Here is a 19,663-nt window from a genome sequence, read left to right as displayed (position 1 = left end):
TGAAGAGCATGGGCTCTGGAGTGAACCTGAATGCAAATGCTAGCTCTGCTCTTTCCCAGTTGCAGGACAGTAATAGCAACTTATTCATAGGATCTTGTGAGGATGGACTGAGATAATGGATATAAATCAATTAGCACAGTGTCTGGCACACATTAGCACTCAATAAATCTTCATTGTTTTATTATTATCACAATCTCCTATTCTACATTAGGAGCTAGAAAAGATCTGTTCATTAGCCTGAATATGGTTATCATACCACCTCTCGCAATCATACCTTTGTTTTCTCAGGCTCAATTCTCTCTGCCTTTAAAATAAGATATATTGGGAGATGGATTAGGCAGGCCAGGAGAGGATGGGGAATTTTACCAATTGAAGATTCCAGAAAGGTGAGCCACAGTTCATTTTTGTTGATATCACCAGTCTGATGAATTATTATGTATTTAGGCACAAAGTCATATTTGTGAATTTTCTGCCATTGCACTAATCATAAAATGGAAATCCACCACTACCTTCTGTTTGCTGTCTCCCAACGCTGGGGTTCTAGTTTCTAAATTAACTCCACATGCAACTAATTATCTCTGGTGGTGGATGAGATTTTTAGATTATTTTTAAAACATTGTTTAGCCTTAAATTACTTTCTAAAAATAGTACGAAAGCAAAGTAAACAAACCAAAAAACCTCGAAAGCACTGATTTCCATGGACCACCGACTCAGGGGCAGTTCCAGACACTAACTCAGGGTCAGCTTCCTAGGGACCCAGGAGTCCCCTCTCCCTACTGCCTGGAAATGGCATTTGGCATGTGCATACTCAACAGGGGCCAAGAAACGGGAAGCTGTGGGGCAGACAGTGAATAAGAAGTTTTCTGATGAAATCAGAGACTTACATGAACTGCATGGAAAAACTGTGGGCTAGGAAACTGACTCCCCACCTCAAACAGGATCTCAGGTAAATCTGATGGGTGAGTCTTAGAACAGATAGATCCTCACAGTCCCCATTTTATGCTTCTTTTAGAAAATGACATTTAATAGCCCAGAGACTTGTCACGTGATGCAGAGAGCATGCACCATCCAGGCCCCTCAGGTACATCTTCCTTCCCCAGGACAAACCCTACCTGGCATGGAGGGGTTAACAAAATCACAGCCCAAGATGGTATGACAGCAGCTTGATTAATAACGATTATCACAGCAGATGGAAAACTGTAGACAAACTTTCCATAGAATGAGTCTACCACAAAATTTCTTGATGAGACAGAAGGATGGTTAGCGACCACAGACTTATTCCTTTACTGAACGGAATAAAATTGCTGAATTTCTACTCACCCCTTTTGATAATTTTCACAGATCTCCAGTGGCTTACATTTGAGATTCAGACCCCTCATTCATGTGTGAAATGTACTGCTTACTATGCGGACGTGTGATACTTCGCAGGGCAGCGAATGGCGCATTCCTCCTTAAATGTATGCGTGTGCATGTGTCTCAGCAAAAGTGACTACAAAGGTGTTCTGTTCAGCACTTCAGCTTTCCAGTGGGTATGTATACTTGGACCTCTGCTGCTGAGAGAAAGCGAGTTTTACACCCACCACCCGAATGGTTTTTGATCATTTGGGTTGTTTTGCTTCATCCCTGCTTTTTGTTGTTTAATTTCGATTACAGCGCAAATAGCCTCAGCAGACGCTAACCATTAATTCTGGAACACAGAGCCAGAGTCTCTTTTTATTCCCTCCCTCCCGCCACAGCCCATCTCAACATGGAAGAGAAAGGACCTTGCCCTCCTCCTTGTGCCACTGTTGGAAGGAGAAAGAGCCCTCCGTCCCCTCACGTCTGCTGCAGGACAGGGGGCCCAAGAGGGCCTCAGCACACTGGCTGCAAGACAGAGACCAGGGACCAGAGCCAAGGCAAGCAGAAAGCAAGAAAAGGCTCCTCTCTTGGATCCAAAGAGCCTCCCGGTGCTGGGTAAAGATGCCAGTCGGTGCGCGAGTCTTCAAATGCTGCTCTGCTCCTCCTGCCCCATACCAAGGGGAGCCCCCTCCGGCAACTTTGCTTAATTAACCTGTTCAGAGAAGCTAGAAAACCCCTTCAGCTGAATAGTCCACAGATTGAGCCTCAACTGCCAGCAGATTCCTGTCATGTGTACTATTCAGAGTATTAATTATCCTATCAAATACTCTGTGTTCCTGCCCCACTCTTAAAGAACCAAAATCCAAAGGAGAATGCATTTGCTAAGCAAACCCCGACACACGCACCTGCACTGTATCAGTGAGAGGCGTTCGGCAGGGGAAGATGTGGAGCTGAGGCATTTCCGTACCGTGGTTTTAAACCACTTGCCACCAAATGGTCCTGGTGAAGGCCGAGGGGCCGAGCCAGAAGAACATTGGCCAGGAGCTTGCAGGTCTGGGCTCCGGTTCCCGCCTTCACTCCTCGCCTGCCTGCCTGCCTGCCTGTCTGCCCCTTGGCCTAGTCACTTGTCCTCCCTCACAATCAGCTTCCCATCTGTAAAATGTGTCAGGAATTCACGGGACTGTTGCAAGAACCTGTGAGATAATGAAGGTGGAAGCACTTTGTAAACTCTAAGGAACTACACAAGTCTAAGGGCCCTGGCCATGTCTCAGTGGCATGACCGTTTCCTTCCTCAGAAACCAATAGGATTGGGAAGTAGGTTAGGGTTGGAGGTACCCTCTCAGCCTCACCTATCCCCTCTGAGATACAGGTGTGCTTACCTGGCCCCACTGATAGTGAGACTACCAAAGATGGCTCCATTAAAAAACAGGGCAATATGAGTTGCCTATTAAAAAGGGAAATATGGTCTGATGAAGGTTCTAAGTAAGTTTGGGGGCCAGAGGGTCAGGGTTTAAACCGTTCCTCTGCCCCTGGCTGTGTGACATTGGGCAAGTTGCTTAACCTCAATAAGCCTCCATTTCCTCAACTGTAAAATGGGGGTGGCCATGACATTGGCCTTCTTAGGGTTATTGTAATGATTAAATGAGAGAACGCATGTTAACCATTTGTCCCAGGACCTGGCTCGTGGTCAAGTCAGTAAGTGTTATGCAACCTGTGTACCATGGAGTTCACAGCAGGCCTCCAGACTTGTTTGTAAATATGGTGGGCATTACGTGAATTGGTGGTGTTCAGCCATTCATTTCAGCCACTTTCTCAAGCCATCCAAGGCTTTGTTCAAATGCTACCACCTCCAGAAAACCTTTCTTGGTCCAGTCCCCAGGTCTGCTCCCCACACTGTACTCATGTCACTTGGTCCAGTCCCCAAGTCTGCTCCCCACACTGTACTCATGTCACTTGGTCCAGTCCCCAAGTCTGCTCCCCACACTGTACTCATGTCACTGTTAGGTCGGGGCCAGCTTCCTTGGTACAGGAACTGCAGTGGTAAAGGGCCCTCACTCACAAAGGCCCACATCTGGCTTCCTGCTCTGCTGTCTTTTGGATCAAGAGACCTTGTATTTTCACTTGGCACTGGGCCCTGCAAATTATGTAGCTGGTCCAGGTTACAATATTTCATTTTTGCCCCAATTCTGTCTTAGAAATTGTGTAATTTGTTGTTCACATGCATTTTAGAATACACAATTTGTCCTCATTATTCATGAATTCCAGAACTGTGACTTTGCCCACTTGCTGAATTTATGTAACCCCCAAATCAATACCGTGGCACTTTCACAAACAAGCGCAGATGTGTGCAGAGTGGAGAAAAACGAATCGCTCTCCACACACGTCCCCACGTGAGGTCAAACAAGGGGACGCTCTGCCTGCTTATTTTAATTTTCAACCTGTAAACAAGTGTCCTTTTTGTGGTACATTTAATGACACATTTTTTGCACCTTTGTGCTTTTTTCGATGCTATTGCTGTTTAAAATGGCCCCCAAGGGTAGTGCTGCAGTGCGTCTAGCATTTCTAGGTGCACGAACTCTGTGATGTGCCTTGAGGAGAAAATACGTGTGTAGATATGCTTCGTTCACCCATGAGTTCTGATGCTGTTGGCCATGAGCTCAATGTTAATGAGTTAACAATATGTGTTAAATGTCGTGTCTGTAAACAGACACACACACGAAGACAAGGTATGTATTGATCAATGGACAAAAATGTTGGGACCAGAGGCTCACAGGAACATAACCCTGTGTTTCCCCTAGGAAGAGTAGTTCAGTATTCACTTGATTCAGTGTTCACAGAGACTTTATAGAACATTACTACCATGAATAACAGGAATTGCCTGTAACTCCTTTAAGGTTGATGACCCATTTTATTTATTTTCTCACCTTCCCATCGTCACCTTGGCCCTCTTCTCAGTGCCTAGGAGAGTGCTATGAATATACTGGTATTCAGAACAGTTATCTGCAGTAAGTGACGATTCAGTCTTCGAGGAAATATTAACAGTTGCTTGTTGATTCCGAGATTGTATGGTTTGTTTCATACTACATCACGTTCCCTTTGTGAAACTGGATATTTGAAAGGCTATTCTGCAAAACCTATAGGGTACTCTCAGTTTTTTCCTTGTTGAAATGAAAAAGTAGAGCAGGAAGTGGTCATGGACTAATGCACCTAGATTCTTTATAGTCCTAAGACAAAATATTGAAGACCCAGACTTGAAACATGTTAAGGAGAGAGTTGTCATAGAGTTCTAATGGGATCGGTAGCAAACTAAGGGGTCTGTATCTTGAGGAAAATTCTGGGTAGGGGAGAGTGCCTACTCTGAGTTCCTCTTGAATGAACCATTTATAAGGGTCACTTGGAATAAATAGCCTGGCGAGAAATGGCATCCACTACTTAGGATAGGAGTTAAAGACTTCTAGAATAAATAACCTACTTAGCATCTATCTAAAGCAGATGGGATTATGGGATCCCAAACCAGGAGTGACCCAGCGTCTGCAAAATGCAGAAATGGATGAAATGAGTTTTCTCAGTTGTCACTAGGATGATGCTCATGTCCATTATATCATAGGCGAGCCACAGGTGAGTATATTTTATTTTCTTTTTTTTTTTAGAGATGAGGTTTTACCATGTTGGCCAGGCTGGTCTCGAACTTCTGTGCTCAAGCAATCCACCTGCCTCAGCCTTCCAAAGTGCTGGAATTATAAGTGTGAGCCACCACACCCGGCTGGTGAGCCTATTTTCTAAATATGAAAAATGTCTATTCTTTGTTGGCTGAGTCCAAAACCTGCTGAGGTCTATCATGATCCCCTTTAGGAAGAAGAGAATTTGACTTGGTTGTTTTATTCAAGGCATTTGAGGAATAACAGGTGTGTCAAACGGAGTCAAAGGAATGAGCACCCGGCACCTGGACACAATTGCTCCTCCCATCCCATCTCAGGTCATCCACCTCCAGGTTCATGGTCCTGGCTGCTGGCTCTGCCTTCCCTCTATGGAGGCATCTCCCATAGCTAGGTAGGTTTCTTCCAAAGTGGCCGTCTTTAGAAATAATCGGCACAGACTATGAGGTAAACAAGTAAGGCTGAGAGAGACCTGCCCCTGAGAAAGACAAAGTTCAGATTTGACAGACAACCCATTGACGAGGCCGACATAAAAGCACAGCAGGTAATAAAGAAGCTAGGCATGTGTCCTGACGGCTGATGAATATAATCTGCTAGACAATGTGTCTTTTGAGAAGAGAAATTAAAAGAGCCTCACCACCCTCAATGACGTGTCTCTTTGGGTTTGGCTGGTAAAAAGCAATAAGCTTATGTGAATTGAAAGGCAGGCAGGAAATAGGAGGTTTCGGCTGAAGGAGCGGCAGTCCATAAAGACCTGGCAGGAGGGAAGAGCAGGTAACATGTGCGGGTCTAGAAATAGTACACTTGGGTTAGAGTGGAGAGTGTGAACTTGAATGTGGGATGGGAGGCAGGAATAAAACCTACATTACTCAATTGAGTGATATGATAAAAGCCCCATGAATTCAAGGTAAAGGACTATGTACTCCAGCAGGAGTGGGGGTTTACTATATATCTTCCAGGAGGAGAAGGATATACTAAAACTGCAATTAGAAAAAGATAACAGCAACAGTGGTGCATAGATGATAGAGGAAAGATGAGAACAGGCAGAGAGGCTGGTCAGGAGACTTGGCAGGGAAGGAGGAGTTGGGGACCTGTGGGCATGATAAGGAGAAGGTTGAGTCTGTGGTCTTGGAGACTGGGTAGATGGAGGTAGGGGAGAGAGGCACAGGGAGAAGGAGGATTCAAAGGCGGGATTTTGCGCCGCAGTGACTGGGAAGAAGAAGTGTTGGTGAGTGAGGTAGAGGGAAGATTTTGGCATGTGGTGTTTGAAGATGCTGGAAGCAATTGAAAGTTGGCAGAGTCTGGATATGACTTCATCTGAATTGCATTTCAAATATTAACTCACCAACCGTTCCGACTTTCTTTGTTACCTATTAACATTTCTCAGAGTATGTCCAGGCCCTGATTTCTCAGACCTGGGGTCATCTAGTCATGGTTTAGCCTGGCTCTGATACACTCGTATGTGTTAAAGATGTTTACCCCCAAAGATTCTGAGTAGAGATTGTAACATGTTTAGACTTCAGGCTACTTTTGGAATTAGTAAAATCTTTATCTTACTCTTTTTGCTACCTCCCTCCCTCAATCTTACCTTTCCAATTACACACACACACACACACACACACACACACACACACACACACAGAGTTGAGTTTCTGTTACTCAAAGCTCAGTGCTAGCAATGGTAAAGGATAGATACAGAGGTAAACAAGACACCACACTGTCTTCAAAAGAGCCTACAATCTGGTGGGGACTCCAATGGTTGGCTGGATTGAGCACCTGCCATGCAATGAACACTAAGCTGGGAGGCATTAGAGGCGAAGTGACCTAGTGGTTAGGCATGGATTCTAGTGCCCTGGAGCCAGATGAGCTGGGCTCAAAGTTTTGCTCTCCTGCTTATTCATTGTGAACACTTCAATCAAATGTCCTGGTGCGTCAGTTTTCTTATTTATAAAATGGGCGTAATAATAATTACTTTGTAGGGTTTTATGAAGATTAAATAAGTTAATAAATATAATCAATCGCAATGTATGCTAGGAGCATGTATGAGTTCTCATTGATGAGTTATTTATGAACTCAAACACATTCCTAGTACATAATAAGCACTCCATAAATGTTTGCTATTATTATCTTTGCTCCAGGTTGCCATGGAATGAAGGAACTACGATGGGGATCGAGGTAAAATCAGTGCTAACTCAACAATATTGCAATACATCTTGTTAGAGGGTAGAGTGAACTAAAGAAGGATGTTGTAAATCTCAATCTGATCCATAATCTCAAAACTGGAGATGATTTTTAAATGGCCGATAATTAAATAATCAGTAATGATTAGAGCTGCTAATACAATTTCTTAATTTAAGCTTATCCCACAAAGAACCATTTAGCACTATTTGATTGTGATAATGAATTAGATTGGCCAGGTATTCTTCCTTTTGATTTTGTGAACTATCCCTGGAGACGTGGCTTATTGAAAAATTCATTTCTAATTTTCTGTGGCTGAAACCAGTTTGCTATAATTAATAAATAAACTGATGGATTGTTAGAGATGTCAAGTTACAGTCAACAACTCACAGCACTGGATGAATTAACAAGAGGTGTATATATGCAGAGTCACATGAAGTCAGCTATGAGGCTGCAAGGATGAGCTCTGCGTTGCACAGAAATGAATGACAACACAGGAGCTGGCTGCTTTCTGTCCACCAAGCCACTATGGTAGAGTCTAGGCCAGGCTGGCTCCCCCTTGGGCTCTCCACAGCACTTTGCCATTTTTTTCTTGGAGATGCTTTTCAATCACTACCTTCAATTTGCCATCTGGTGGACCCCTAAGGACTAAGCTCGGATCAGGCTCCTGCTCAGGCTAGGTCAGGTAAGATGTTTGCCTAGAGTGGCCCTAGATCACGTAATCCAAAGGGAAAATATCAGCCCTAGCCAAAAATGAAAGCCAGAGGTCAGTACCAATAGAGTTGTATCAAGCACCAAGACAAAGAGACAAAAGTGAAACTACAAATGAAAAACCAGAGATAAATCTGAAATCAAACAGATTTGAAGTGGTCCAAGATAGCAAAAGTGTGTATCCCAGGGAAAACAGTCCTGACGTGCAGGAGGCTTCCAGGCCCAATCTTACTGGATACGAGCCTAGCTCTGGACGGGAAGGTAGCTACTTATATATGTGTCTTCTCTACACTAAGCTGTAAGCCTTTTGAAAGGCTTCATGTACATATTGTCATTTTTGTGTCCACCATGGAGTCTGAGATACGGCAGACACTTAACAAATATTTTTTAAATGAATGAAGGAATGGGCAATATAGGTGAGAATGCTACTACCAGCAATACTATTACTAACAATCACTAATAACACCTGTCACTTATTGAACATTGACTACGTGCCCAAAATAATGCTAAGCACAAGACATATATATATATATATTTTTAAATTTAATCCTCAAAAACCTTCTGAAGCAGATAATATTTTCACCCATTTCATGAATGAGTAAACTAAGGCTTAGAGAAGTCATCTCTTCCAAAATTGCACAAATAACAAGTGGCAGAAATAACAAATCTGCAAATAGACATCTCAGTCCATGAGCTTGATTACTCCATTGTACCATTTTGGAAGCCCAACCTTGTTTGAACCTGAATTAGATTCCCAAGGTTGTATAAGAGACTTTCCTATTCTCCTCTTCAGCTTCCCACCCAAACCGAGCTCACCCAAACCGAGCTCACCGCCCCCCTTGTGTACTCTTTGGGCACGTCTCCACCAGAACACTCAATACATTGCCAAATCATTGTCTGTTTAGACGAGCATCTCGACGGCAGGGGCTCTTGTTCACTTATGTTCTCCCATTGTGAGTAGCATAATGCCTGGAATACCGTAAGTGCTGAAGAAAGGTTTGTGGGGTTGATTAATTATTGAACTCTGAATAAACAATGGTCATTTCGAAGACTATGTTCTCTGGAGACTTTTTTGATTTTGATCCATGGATTCCCTCATGTACGGCCTGAATGGTATGAGAGATAAGATAACAGCGCTGTTTCAGCGCCTCTCAGCAGCTGCCTTGGGGGCTGGATTTATTGCCTTCTTGAGTGAAATGTTGGCCTTCAATTTTGCTGAGCTGTCAAGAGCAGTGATTTTAGGTGTGTGGCTGTTGGTTGTCCCACAAGCTAACTTTTTAAGTCAAAATTACCACCCGGCACTGAAATGGAGGTTGGTTATGAGGTGTTAACAGGACCTCTGGGCCACCAAGGAGAAAGGGCTGGGGAAGCCAAGAGAAACACCCAGCTCCCAATTTTAAAATGAAATTAGTAAAATAAAGAAATAAAATAAAATAGTAAAATAAAGGAAGAAATTTGAAACTGTAAAAAATTTAAAGCTTTTAGTGAAAAAAAAAAGGAGGGGATAATGATTAACAGAGCAGGCTTTGGAATTAAACAAACTAGTTTAAAATTCTGATTCCTCAGACTGCCTTTGCGACACAGGGCAAGTTCTTGATGGTGAGCCTCGGCTGTCTTGTCTGTCTTGTCTGGTACTGGGGTCTGTCTCTCAGGTAAGCATTAGCTAATGCATGTGAAGTATCTAAAACCACTCCAACTATATAGCAAAGGCTCAATAAAAGGTCGTTGTTATTCAAACAGTTAAATTGTATTCATTTACTTAATGAAGATTTATTCAGCACCAACTCTATGCCAGACACTGTGCTTTACTCATTGACATAGAATGGTGAGCGAGTACGTGCAGGGTCTGTGCCCTCGTAGAGCTTCATGGTGAATTGTAAAAATAGCCATAGGTTTAGTGGGTTCCCTTTTGGTGCCACCCCACTTTGATGCTGAACTCAGCCATGTGACTGGCTTTGAGCAATGGGATGTTAGACAACATACGCAAGCAGAGGCTTGAATAATGTTTGTGCTCTGTCCTGTCTGGCCACTCATAGAACCCCTGTTGCCACTGCTGTATGAAGAAGCCCAAGGCAGCCTGATGGATGGCGAGAGACACATGGCCTAATTGCCAGTGTCTCACTGGCCAACAGCTACCACCTTCTAAAATGTGGGTGAGGCCATCCTAGTACCATTGTTGTCACTTGACCCACCAGCTGACCATAGACACTTTAGAGAACTCAGCAGAAATCAGCTGATCGGGCTTAAACCAGAAAAGCTACCCAGTCGGCTCATAGAATTGTGAGCTACATAAATTCAAAAAATTTAGTTTTGGGTAGTTTCTTACCCAGCCAAGCTAACTGATACAAATGTATAGCCTACCACAAGGGCCAATAAACGTTTTCTGTAAGGGACCGGGTAGTAAATACTTCTGCTTTGCAAGCCATAAGATCTTTGTTGAAACTACTCAGCTCTGCTACTGCAGCTCAAAAGGAGTCACAGCCAATACGGAAATGAGCCATTGCAGCTGGATTTGGCCTGATGGCTGTTGTTTTGCCGACCCCTGCTCTAGCACAAAAAACAGACATTACTCAAATAATCACAGAAAGAAATGTGTGCATGTAAACTGCAATCGCATCTGAGCAGCCAAGGTTCCTCGTGCTGTTAGAAAGAATGATCAGAGAACCTGCCCCAGGCTGGTAATTCAGTTAAGGTGTCTTGGTTAGATTTCCCCAGAAGCAGACCCTGAGATAAGGATTTGAGGATGAGCAGGCTAATCTCAGGAGCAAGTTAGGAGGGTAAAGAAGTGAGAAAAAGAAGAAAACCAATATGGGGGTAGTTAATCAGCAGGTTACCCATGGACAAGGGAGGCTTAGTCCCCTGGGGCCTCCAGGAGACAGGCTAGGTCCCTGGTCGGGGGCGAGGAAGCTGGGTTATATATTCTGCAACTCCCATCCATTGTTGTTGGAGGCTGATCCTGGAGGTGTCAGTTCTCTGCCGTTCTGTTCTGCCCCCACGCACTCCTGCAGCCAGAGAAAGCACTCGGGCAGAGAGGAGCAGCTTGCAGTGAGAAGCTGAACTGGGAGTGAGGCGTGCCAAGGAGATGTGGGTGGGCACCAGCAGCATCTGCCACAGAAGGCTTCCCTGTGGGAGGAAGGTCTGAGTTGTGCTCTAAAAGATGGGTAGGATGTACAGGTGAGAGAAGCCCCAGCTGAAGGGTAGATGTGGAGGAGGTCGCCTAGGAGGGAAGATACATAGAGAAATTAATAGAAGTCTGGAACTAAGCATTTAGGAAAATCCACATGTAACGTAGGTTGAGCCTGAAAGGAGACTACGGCTGTAGTAACAAAGTACCACAAACTCCATGGCAGAAAACAACCGAAATTTATTCTCTCACTTTTCTGGAGGCCAGAAGTCAGAAGTCAAGGTGTTGGCAGGGACGTGCTTTCTCCGATGGCTCTAGGGGAAGATGCTTCGTGGCGTCACTCCAGCCTCCGGTGGCTCCCCGTAGTGGTTGGTATTCCTGGTTTTCTGGACACATCTCTCCAATCTCGGCCTCTTCACCACATGGCCGTCTGCCCTCTGTGTGTGTCTGTGTCTCAATTTTCCTCTGCTTATAAAGACACCAGTCATCAGATGAGGGCCCACCCCGATCCAACAGGACCTCCATTTAACTTGATTACATCTGCAAAGATCCTGTTTCCAAAGAAGATCACATTCACAGGTGCCGGGAGTTAGGACGTGAACTTATCTTTTGGAGGGAATCTAATTCAACCCGTAACAGAGATGGAGAAGGAGCAGCCACAGATGGGAGGAAAGTCAGGAGAGTGTGATGTACTGGATGCCCCCAGGAAAGCAGCACTTCAAGGAAGGAGCGAGCGTCGTAAATAAGATAAAGAGGCCAGGCGCAGTGACTCTCAGCACTTTGGGAGGGCCGAGGTGGGAGGATCGCTTGAGTCCAGGAGTTCGAGACCAGCCTGGGCAACATAGTGAGACTCCATCTCTACAAAAAATTTTTAAAAATTAGCCAAGCATGGCCACACACACCTGTAGTCCCAGCTACTCAGGAGGCTGAGCTGGGAGGATTGCTTGAGCCCAGGAACTCAAGGCTGCAGTGAGCCAGAATCATACCACTACACTCTAGCCTGTGTAACGGAGTAAGACCCTGTCTCAAAAACAAAAACAAAAACAAAAAACAAAAAACAAATAAATAAGATGAAGACAGGAAAGTGTTCACTGGATTTAGAAACAGTGAATATTCAACTCCATTAAGTTGCTGGGCAGTGAAAGGGAGAAATCGAGGCAAAGGTTTACAGGGTTGAGGGAGGATATTTTTTAAGATGGTGGAGATTGAGTGTATCAGTGGAAAGGAGCCAGTTTTGAGGGGGATGTCGAATACAGAGGTAGCAAGCATAGTGCAGGGTCCTATGACACAATAAGACAGGAGAGGGTGGGTTCCTGGGACCAGGCATCTCTGTAAGAGGAGGAAGGAGGAGTGGACGGGTGTAGGCCCCGGAATTCTCCCCTCTGTGCTTTACATTCCCATTCTTCCTGCCAAATGGTCCCCATTGCCAGTCTTAGAATGAAATCCACCTCGTAACAGCTACCAACTGATCTGCCCCCAGGGAGAGCTGTTATTCCATATTTTCCTAGTATTTCCCTTTTGTGACCCTTTGCCAATGTTTATCAATACATGTCTTTTGTGTCTACCAAGGGCCCTGCCTAAAAAGATTGCACTGACAGGATGAAGCATAAGGCTGCAGGGCTATGGGAGATACATGCATTATCCTATTCATCTTGAAAGCGTCCCCATAAGGAAGCCAAGACAGAATTATTATCTTCGTTTTACACAAGAGGAAATGGAGACTCCAAGTAGTCAAGTGCTCTGGATAAGATCACATGGCTCTAAACCCACATTCTTGGATATTTTGTTGGGGCTTTTTCCACTAAAAAAAAGAAAGGAAGAAAGGAACAAAAAAAGCTGTCTTTCTTAATTTGATATTATGAATTGTTTAGAAGTTACATCAGAACAGGAATATTCTGGTTTCTTGGCTTTCTGGAATTTCCAGGAGGGTCATTTTTTTTCAAGACTGGTAGAGTAACAAGGAATATGTATGGCCTTGATGTCCTAGAAATAATAAAGAGGTCTAGTGTCTTGGAAACTAGACTTGCCTTTCTTAGGAAGACCACACAACCAAAGTCAGATGAAACCAAAGGGGCCAGATGAAATGATCCAAGAACTATTTTCCCATCACCTGAGAGCATTTTCTATCCAGCAAACATTTACCAAGCTCCTATTTTGTGCCAGGAATCGTGCTCAGGACTGAGGGGTAAAAATGAATCTGAGGAACAGGCAGACACACATACATGTCTCATACCACTTGGTACAGGCTACCCTGTGGTCTAGGAACACACTCATGTGTTTGGGGAATGATGATACTTCAAGGAAATTGGTGGGATATAGAGTCTGAGAAGAGAGGGTAAGGAGAGAGATAAGGCCAGGAAAGCAATAATAACAGTGATAATAAAGAATATTTATCTGGCATTTACAGTCTACAAGGAACTTTTACATTTTTTTCCATCTAATCTTCACAACAGCCCTTTGAGAAGTAAACAGAAAAGCAGTTTCCCCCATGTGGGTACCTCTGGGAAATGAGCTTTTCCTAAGCAGCAATATATTCAAAATGCATCCGGTAAGAAATCTACCCATATTATGCTACATATTCATTACACTTGTCTTCCTGAATTGCATTTGACAGCTTTTGCCTAGTTTAGGGGTACTCCAATTTATCATGTTTAACCCAAGCAGCACTCCACAGACTGTCTTGTGCTGAAGGTTCCTAATATCACCAACTAAACTCTGAATGCTGTTGAAGTCTCCAGCCCTGACTTCTCCACATTCTGCCTCCTCAACCAAATGTGTGTTATCTGTTAAGACACAGCTCCAGTCCTTCCTGTTCTTTTGTTAACTGATCCCCGACAACGTGGACACCAAGAATTGATAGCCTCAACTGGAAAACTCATTTAGGCGAATTTCTAAGCAACTCTCCTAACAATGAACTTCCTTCTTAATGAAGTGATTCATACTCTCCATTCATTCATCCATCCATTCATTCAATAAATTGATTGAATACCCACTGTATGCAAGACACACTGATAGACCTTATGAAGGACTCAAAAATAACAAGACATGCTCAAGGTATTTGGAGTCTAATGGGAAAGATAAGATGAGCATGCAGATAACTAACATGTAGGTCAAAGTGATAAGTGAGGCCAGGTGTGGTGGTTCGCTCCTGTAGTTTCAGCACTTTGGGAGGCTGAGGCAGGAGGATCACTTGAGCTAGGAGTTTGAGACCAGCCTGGGCAACATGTTGAAACCCCGTTACTACAAAAAAAATACGAAAGTTAGCCAGATGTGGTGATGTGCACCTGTAGTGCCAGCTACTTGAGAGTCCAATGAGGGGGGATCATTTCAGCCCGGGAGTTTGAGGCTGCAGTGAGCTACGATTGCACCACTATACCGCAGCTGGGTGACACAATGAGACCCTGTCTCAAAAAAAAAAAAAAAGCGATAAATGAGAAAAGAGAGTTAGGTTCATACATCCCTTTATTTCTTCAGCAATCATTTTGTATGCACCAATTATGGGAAGGGAACTATGCCAGGTTCTGTCCATATGCTGCCTCACTGAATCCTCAGGACTTGGAGATAGAGGCTCTTAGCTCCATTCTCCAGATGGGGAAGCTAAGGCTCTCCTTATTTAGTTCGAATGGGAGGAACTTCAAGGAGGAAGTTTTTTGGTTGTGTTGGGGTTTCTTTCTTTATTTTATTTCGTTTGCTGTTGTTCAAGTTTGAGGTTTGGGTAGGATTTTCACATTTAAATGGAGGAAGACTTAACATAAAGCCAATGAAGCTTAACCTTCAGGCATCCTAGCTTACAAGGATCCATTTCAAGGTCCCAGGAAGGGCTGCAGAGCTGTGTTCACATCTCTGTGGATTTTTGTAAGATTTGCCAAAGTGATCTATTTTAGCATTCTTTTTGTTAAAGAGACTGTCCCAAATTGTGTACACTTCAGGTCCCACAAAATCTGGATATGCCTTTGCATTTAAAGATGGAATGAAGCACGTGCAGAAAAAGGGGAACTCACTGAGCAGATGTAGAGGGTGACACGGAGAAAGGTCAGCACATGTTGGGAGGAGTGCGTGTGGCCCTGATGCACAGGAGCAATTCAAGGCTAGAAAGGATGAGGAGATGACTTTCCCAACTCCTGGCCCCAACCACCAGGCTCATCTGCATCTGCCCTCTCCTTTCCTCCTCTTGGCAACAGTGAAAGAGGGATCCCTCCTCCTGCACGGCCAACCTCTCCACCCATGCTGGGAGCCCCTCCCCTACAACTTTCCCTATGGATCATTCCCTCTCCTTCCTGAATCTGGAGCTCCACCTGCTCCAGCTCCTCTGGCCCCTTCCTTGATCCGCCTGTTGAAAGAGAAAGAAGTGGGGAGGGAGGGCAGGGAGGAAGGGAAGGAGAGAGGGAGGGGAGGAATGGGAGCGGGAACCTCTTTTGAAGATTGTCCCTCCCAGGACTCAATCCTCTTCTTTTCCTCCACTATTCATGGCTGAAGTTCTTGACAGACTTGGTCTTCACTTCCTGCTTCCACATTCTCACCTTGAACAACTTGTCAACCCAACCTGGATCCTCCCCATACCAGCACCAACTCCTGGGACACTGCTCTTGTCAAGGTCCCTGGATCCTCCCCATACCAGCACCGACTCCTGGGACACTGCTCTTGTCAAGGTCATTAACAATCTTCTGACTCAGGACAACCAAGAAGTGCTTTTCTGTCCTGACTTTACTTGGTGTCCTGCCTTGGATTACCCACTTCCCTGGGTTTTCCTCCTGCCTCTGTGTCTCTTCCTTCTCCGTCTCTGTTGAAGACTTTCCTTGGCGCTGGTGTCCTTTGGCTTTTGTCTCAACCTTTCTGTTTCTGTCAGTCTCAATCAGTATTTCTCCTCGTGTGTCTCACAGGCACTGACTCTTAGTATGTCCAGACCTGAGCTCACCCTCTCATGCTTCCCCACCCTCACCCAGACCTGAGACCTGCTTGTCCTATGCTCCCATCCCAGAAAACGGCACCACGACCTGCACGCATACCCAAGCCAGAGACCTGTGACGTGGGCTTGTCACCTTCTTCTCCCTCACCCTTCACATCAAATAATTGCCAAGACCTCCTCCCTCAGCACCTCAATGCCTCTTACCTCTGTCAACTCTTTACGCCACCATCCCCAATGCCACAATCGCCCTCTGCCTGAGCTCCTGCAGGGGCTTCATAACCACCTCCCTGCCTCTCTTCTCCCTCTCTCCAATCTTTTCTCCAAACTCCAGACGGAATGATCTTTCTAAAATGCAAATCTATTCATAGCGCTCTCCTGCTTAAACCCTTCCATGGCCTCCCACTGCTCAAGATTAAGCCTGAACTCCCAGACAGGTTCTTCCAGTCTGTTGTAATAGAGACCCACTTCCTCCTGTCTTCACTTTCCCTCTCACAGGCGATGGCTATATTGAACTGCCCGCACCCCCTTATCCCTGGGTAAGGGGTACCTGCTCCATTTGCCTTCCCGTCCCACACCCATTCCATCTTTTCTTGGCTCCCTCCTATGCCTTCTTTGGGTGACTTCAAGTGACTTTAGATAAGTCACCTTTTCCAGGATGCCTTCCCTGACCTCACAGGGGCTCCAGCTGGGCAAGTCCTTAGCACCCTGGTGTGACCCCCTCCACCCTCTGGGGTCCTTGAAAGAAGGACGAGGACTTTGTTGGCAGCACTGTGCACACAGAGGGGATGCCAATGCCTGGTGCGTGGAGGAATTCGGGGAATACGTGTTGAATAAGTAGTGAGTGAAAGATTGGATGGAGCTAGATCACCCAGTGTATTATATGCTAGGCTGGGGAGTTCGTGTTTTATTCTGTAAGTAAAATGGAGCTACTACAGAATTTGGAACGAGGGAGTGAGTTGACCTCGTCCATGCTTTTGAAAGTTTGCACTGGTTTCTAGAAGAACGAGGTAGGAGACTCTTGCAATGGTCCATGCAGGAGGTAATGAGGTACTGCACTAGACACAGGCAGGTAGAAGGCAGACAGAGGAGAAGCAATGCAGAAATCACATTGATGGATCCCATCAACTGATTAGATTTGGGGTTGGGGGAAGCGGGGGCATGCACAGAGCAGGGAAAATGGTTGTGGATGGCTCTGGAATTTAAATCTAAAATGGGGCCAGATGCGGTGGCTCATGCCTATAATCCCAGCACTCTGAGAGGCTGAGGTGGGAGGATCACCTGAGGTCAGGAGTTCAAGAAAAGCCTGGCCAACATGGTGAAACTCCATCTCTACTAAAAATACAAAAATTACCCTAGTGTGGTGGTGCACGACTGTAATCTCAGCTACTTGGGAGGCTGAGGCAGGAGAATCACTGAAACCCAGGAGACGGAGGTTGCAGTGAGCCAGGATCACACCACTGCAGTTCAGCCTGGGCAACAGAGGGAGACTCTGTCTCAAAATAAATAAATAAAATAAAATAAATAAATCTGGAATGGCCAGGATATGATTATTCTCCTACTGCCAACCATCAGAGGGACGGCCTTTGTATCATTTACACTCAGAGACTTTCCAGGAGCCCCCTCAGTTTCTGCCTGGAGCTTCCCTAAGATCTGTACCCTTTGTTTTCTGAAGTTTGAGGACCCCAAGACTTCATGCTTCTACCATAAACCCTTATGTGGAGAGCAAATATTTGCAGAGCATGGGGTAATTATTGTTGTTTTTATGGTTATTTATTCAAACAGAATTTGAATTATAAAATTAACAGTGGCTTGCCCTGGTATCTCATCATACACACACAGAGCATAATAACTCCAACCTCGCCCCCACCAGGACTTTAAAGAATATCTACGGCAGAAAGTTATGGGTTTGGCTTTTTATTTTGTTTTTCAATCTTCAAAACTCTCTTCTCACCCTGCCTCGGTGGAGCTGTGTCTTTGCACACCTGTCCTGGGCAGCTGCACCGGCCATCACAGGGAGGGACATTATGCCGCACTTGCCTAGGAAAAGCAGCCACCGTGCCGGTCAGAGACAGGACCACAAGTCAGGAGGCCTGGCAGGCTCTCCACCAGGTGGAATTGGCAAGAAACTCACGTCTTCTCTGCCTCTTCCCACCAAAGGCAACCTTCAGGGCACAAGGTTAATGTGAACACGATTTGTCATCATCCGGCAGAGTCTCACCGGGGTGCCTGTGTTTAGCAGGTTCACTGAGCTCAGTATTTCTGAAGCACTTACTCCTGCCGGACAAGCAGTTACTGATGAAAGCAGGAAGAATAAAAATGGGAATGTTTTCTCGAAGTGAAGTGGGACTTGCCTGTGGGTGCTGCACTCACAGGTAATGGATCAGGACACACAAGTGACAGTGTGGACCTGGAGGTCAGACCACTTGGAGTCAAAGCCCAGCTCGGCCTCTTACTAGTGTCCTGATGACCACTTAACCCCTCTACAGCTCAGTTTCCTCATCTGTGAAATGGATATGATAAAAATAACTATTCCCAGGGTTCTGATGAACATTCATTGAAATAATCAACATAAAGAACTTAGCGTTTAGCAGACTGTAACCCTTAGCTAGTGTGATTTTTCAACCTCCAGACCCCTTTGGTAGAGTAAATAATTCCAATGGTCACCTGTTCCTATGCTGTTTTTAGAGTTTCCCATCCCCATGGGCTGCTGCTGCTGCTTTTTCTGCATTCATGAGATTTTTTTTCTCTCTTGAAAAGAGCTTCCTGCCAGGCGCGGGGGCTCACACCTGTAATCCCAGCACTTTGGGAGGCCAAGGCGGGTGGATCACTTGAGGTCAGGAGTTCGAGACCAGCCTGGCCAACATGGTGAAACCCCGTCCTACTAAAATACAAAAATTAGCCAGGCGTAGTTGCACATGCCTGTAATCCCAGCTACTCAGGAGGCTGAGGCAGAAGAATCGCTTGAACCTCGGGGGTGGAGGTTGAGGTGAGCCAAGATCACACCACTGCACTCCAGCCTGGCTACATAGCAAGATCCCATCTCAAAAAAAAAAAAAGAAAATAAAATAAAAGAGCTTTCAAAATATACCTGCCTCCAGAAATACTCAGTAACAGCTTAGTAACAGGTGGGCAGATCACGAGGTCAAGAGATGGAGACCAGCCTAGCCAACATGGTGAAACCCCATATCTACTAAAAATACACAAATTAGCTGGGGGTGGTGGCGCATGCCTGTAGTCCCAGCTACTCAGGAGGCTGAGGCAGGAGAATCGCTTGAACCCGGGAGGCAGAGGTTGCAGTGAGCCAAGATCGTGCCACTGCACTCCAGCCTGGGTGACAGTGCGAGACTCTGTCTCAAAAAAATAAAAGAAAAAAGGAAACACTGTACCCATTAACAGTCACTCTGCATCTCCCACCGTCCACCCCACACCCTGGAAACAGCAAATCTGCTTTCTGTATCTGTGGATTTGCTGATTATGGATATTTCATATAAACAAAATGCTTCCTGTATTCTTAAGACAAAACCCTTCTCTTCCACTTGGAAGCAGTAAGCTCCACAGTCAACAGTAGATCTTGGGAATCAGGCCCACCAGGGTCTAAGCCCCAGCTCTGCCACTATGGACTGGATGACAGCAGGTGAATTATCTAACATTTCTACAACTTGCTTTTCTCCTCTAGAAAACAAGGATGATAATCACAAGATCCTCACCCAGGGTTATATGAGGAATCAGTGAGCTGACACTTGTCCAGGG

General features: G+C 45.2%; 1 annotated feature.

Moving 5' to 3' along the window:
• Positions 11,173-11,371: a silencer, noted in NCBI's record as "fragment chr1:244250689-244250887 (GRCh37/hg19 assembly coordinates)". NCBI's record gives its function as "represses an EF-1alpha promoter that drives an FKBP-Casp9 reporter gene in an ReSE screen in K562 erythroleukemia cells {active_cell/tissue: K562}" and the evidence as "EXISTENCE:reporter gene assay evidence [ECO:0000049][PMID:32094911]".

The sequence above is a fragment of the Homo sapiens genome, chromosome 1 (genome assembly GCF_000001405.40).
Source record: "Homo sapiens chromosome 1, GRCh38.p14 Primary Assembly".
NCBI lineage: Eukaryota > Metazoa > Chordata > Mammalia > Primates > Hominidae > Homo > Homo sapiens.
This window is presented reverse-complemented; position numbering and strand designations above follow the sequence as displayed.